Source organism: Homo sapiens, chromosome 5 (genome assembly GCF_000001405.40).
Source record: "Homo sapiens chromosome 5, GRCh38.p14 Primary Assembly".
NCBI classification, from domain to species: Eukaryota; Metazoa; Chordata; class Mammalia; order Primates; family Hominidae; genus Homo; species Homo sapiens.
Window position 1 is genome coordinate 90,154,343 of NC_000005.10, and position 2,815 is coordinate 90,157,157.

General features: G+C 35.4%; 1 annotated feature.

Annotated features, from left to right (window-relative positions):
- Positions 401-601: a silencer, noted in NCBI's record as "peak5346 fragment used in MPRA reporter construct". NCBI's record gives its function as "represses an SCP1 promoter by STARR-seq MPRAs in K562 erythroleukemia cells {active_cell/tissue: K562}" and the evidence as "EXISTENCE:reporter gene assay evidence [ECO:0000049][PMID:32103011]".

A 2,815-nucleotide genomic window follows, 5' to 3' on the forward strand; every position in this document is an offset into this window, starting at 1 on the left:
AATTAACTATGATTACTTGATGTAAGACATCACTCAAACCAATCAAATGTTATTTTGGGAAATCATAAATTTATATCCAGTGTCAGTTTGTCACTCATTAAGTTCTTATAAGAATGATTAGGAAATTAACTTAATAAGTAAACGTTAGTCTTAATCTCTTCTTACTTTGATGGCTTAAAAATATAAGTTTATATCAATTCATTGGGTCTCACTAAATGACTCTGCCTGCTTGGAGGGTTATTTATTCTACTATTAATAAACTTTAGGATTGACAAGAAATTCTTGCATTGCTCCAATCTGCAACAAATCTACCTACCATGTGTTAGTACAGCTTTCAAAATATGATTTTATAATTAACATTAATAAATATTTGCTGGGTACCTACTATGTTCCAGACCCTGTGAAAGGTGCTAGAAATATATGAAAATCTCATTACCTTAAAATTGTTTCCATACACAAAAATTCCAGGAGCAGACTTTAGTCTTGCCAAGGTGTCATTTTAGTGACTGACATGGATCACCACTCCCTGGCAGTCAACAATGACAGCAAGCAAAGCTGCTTAACAGGGAGTTACTGATCTTCCAGCTGTATTTTGCTTGTCACTGCTTTGAAAGATGCTTACTTTGAAGATCTCCATCATGTGGAAGAGAAAAGGTACAATGTAACCTATAAATCAAGGAACAGCGAGGTTTTAGAGACACAAGTAAACCACCATGTAAGTAACTCAGAGAGCTCACAAAGAAGGTAAACATGGTGAATAAAATAAAGAGTTCGTGAACTTGATGATAAAGGAATCAATTTCTTCTCCAATAAACATTTTGTAAGCACTGTACCAAGAATAGAAGAAAAGAGTCTCCGTCCCACCCCTTGCCCAAAGGAAGAAAGAGCTAATCACAGGAGATGCTCCAGAATGCCTAAAGTATCATAATGAATAGTTCTACTAATGTCCACTTTTCAATGGAAAGTATGGACCTCTTAGATTCGCTTCCAAATTCCTCCCAAAATGACTGTCAATACTCTTGTTATTGAACCTGGAAAAAAAAGTTTCTAATATATTATTGATCACTTATCAATTCCCCAAACTGACGACAGCAGTTCTTAGATTAACTGTTAAACCTTGTTCATCATGATTATGCTGAATGTTTGTATGCAGTTTATGGGTTTTATGTCTGCAGTCATTCCTTCATTTTTCCATAGAAATGATATAAACAATGATGATGTAATTTAAATTTTATTCAATTTACTGGATTTTAAATGTTTTCTACATGGAGACCATGAAGAGGAACTATGTTCAGAGAAAATGTCTACAAAGCAGGACCATGGCCAACCACTTTTAATTTAACCCAATTCACTAAAAGTACAATAAAATATCATCTATTTGGAATTTATTAATTTTAAATATGTGAAAATCCACATTGCTGAAGTTGATCTGTGAAATTATATCTAGATTTGAATACCAGTTCACCACTTGGAAACTTATTGATTAAAATTTCTAAACGTCCATTTACTCATCTGTAAAATGGGTACAATCTCTTTATTTTTTCTAATTACTGCTACTGCTAGCACTCTATTCCAACCTACAAACATTTTGTGCCTAGAATAGTACAAAAGTCTCCTAACTGGTTCTCCTGACTCCATTCTTGCCTACTCCACCTTCCCCCCGCTGCCAAAAAACAGGCTATTATTTACATAGAGACCAGAGTGATTTGTTTTTTTAAGTCAGATTATTTCACTCCTCTAATAGAAATTCTAATGACTTCCTCTTTCACTCAATAAAATTCAGACTCCTTGTGGCCAAAAAGACCCACATGAGCTACCCCCACCCACACCCCCACTACCATCACATCTTCCCTAACCTCATCTTTTACCACTCTGCCAGTTGGTCCTTCCACCCTAGTTACATGGGCATTTCACATAAGCTCTGCACCTACCTGAAATGCACTTCCCCCAGAATGCCACATGGCTTGTCTGCCCACTCTTCTTCTCAGCTCAAATGCCACCTTCCCTGGTTATGTTATTTAAAATAACATTCCATCCTTAATGTCTCAGCCACTCTGTATCCTCCTCGCCCTGTTTTATTCTTCTTCACAATACTTCTCAGGGTGTGACTTAGAAGTGGCTTTTGTTTAATATCTGTTTCCCTGAGAGGGGAAAACCAATTAGTCTCTCTGAGAAGAAGGATTATTGTCTCTTTTATTCACTGCTATACCCTCTGCATGGAGAATAGTGCCCGGCATATAGTAAATTCTCAGCAAGAATATAAAAATGGATGGTTTCTTCTGCTTAGTAATGCCTTTCATGGCCTACTTTAGTTACTTAAAAATAACAAATTCATTTTTCTTAATATACTCCATAACCAAGTTTTTCACTAACTCAGATCTGATTTATACCTGAATGAATGTTATTCTGTCAGAAGGGATAAATATGTGACCCCATTAAGACAAAAACTTGGTAACAGATCTTTTTGAAATCTTACAACTATTTTACTTTCTTGGAAAATCAGCCTATTTTGTTCTTTTTATCAGTTTAATTGGATATCTGAGATGATCTTAGTTATGATGTCTTGCCCTTAATAATCTTGGTTAATTATACAATAGCTGGTACAATTATATAATATTGAATTTTAAAATTCTCTTAAATCCATGTTTGAGTTATAAACTTAAAATCACCAAAGCTGGGTGTGGTAATTTTAAAATATGGCCCCAGATGATTTCACAGCCCTTCCATTGGGAGGTAGGGTCTATCTCTCCTCCCCTTGAATGTGGGCAAACTTGTGACTTCTTGACTTACAGAGCACAGGCTTCCTGGGCTAGAT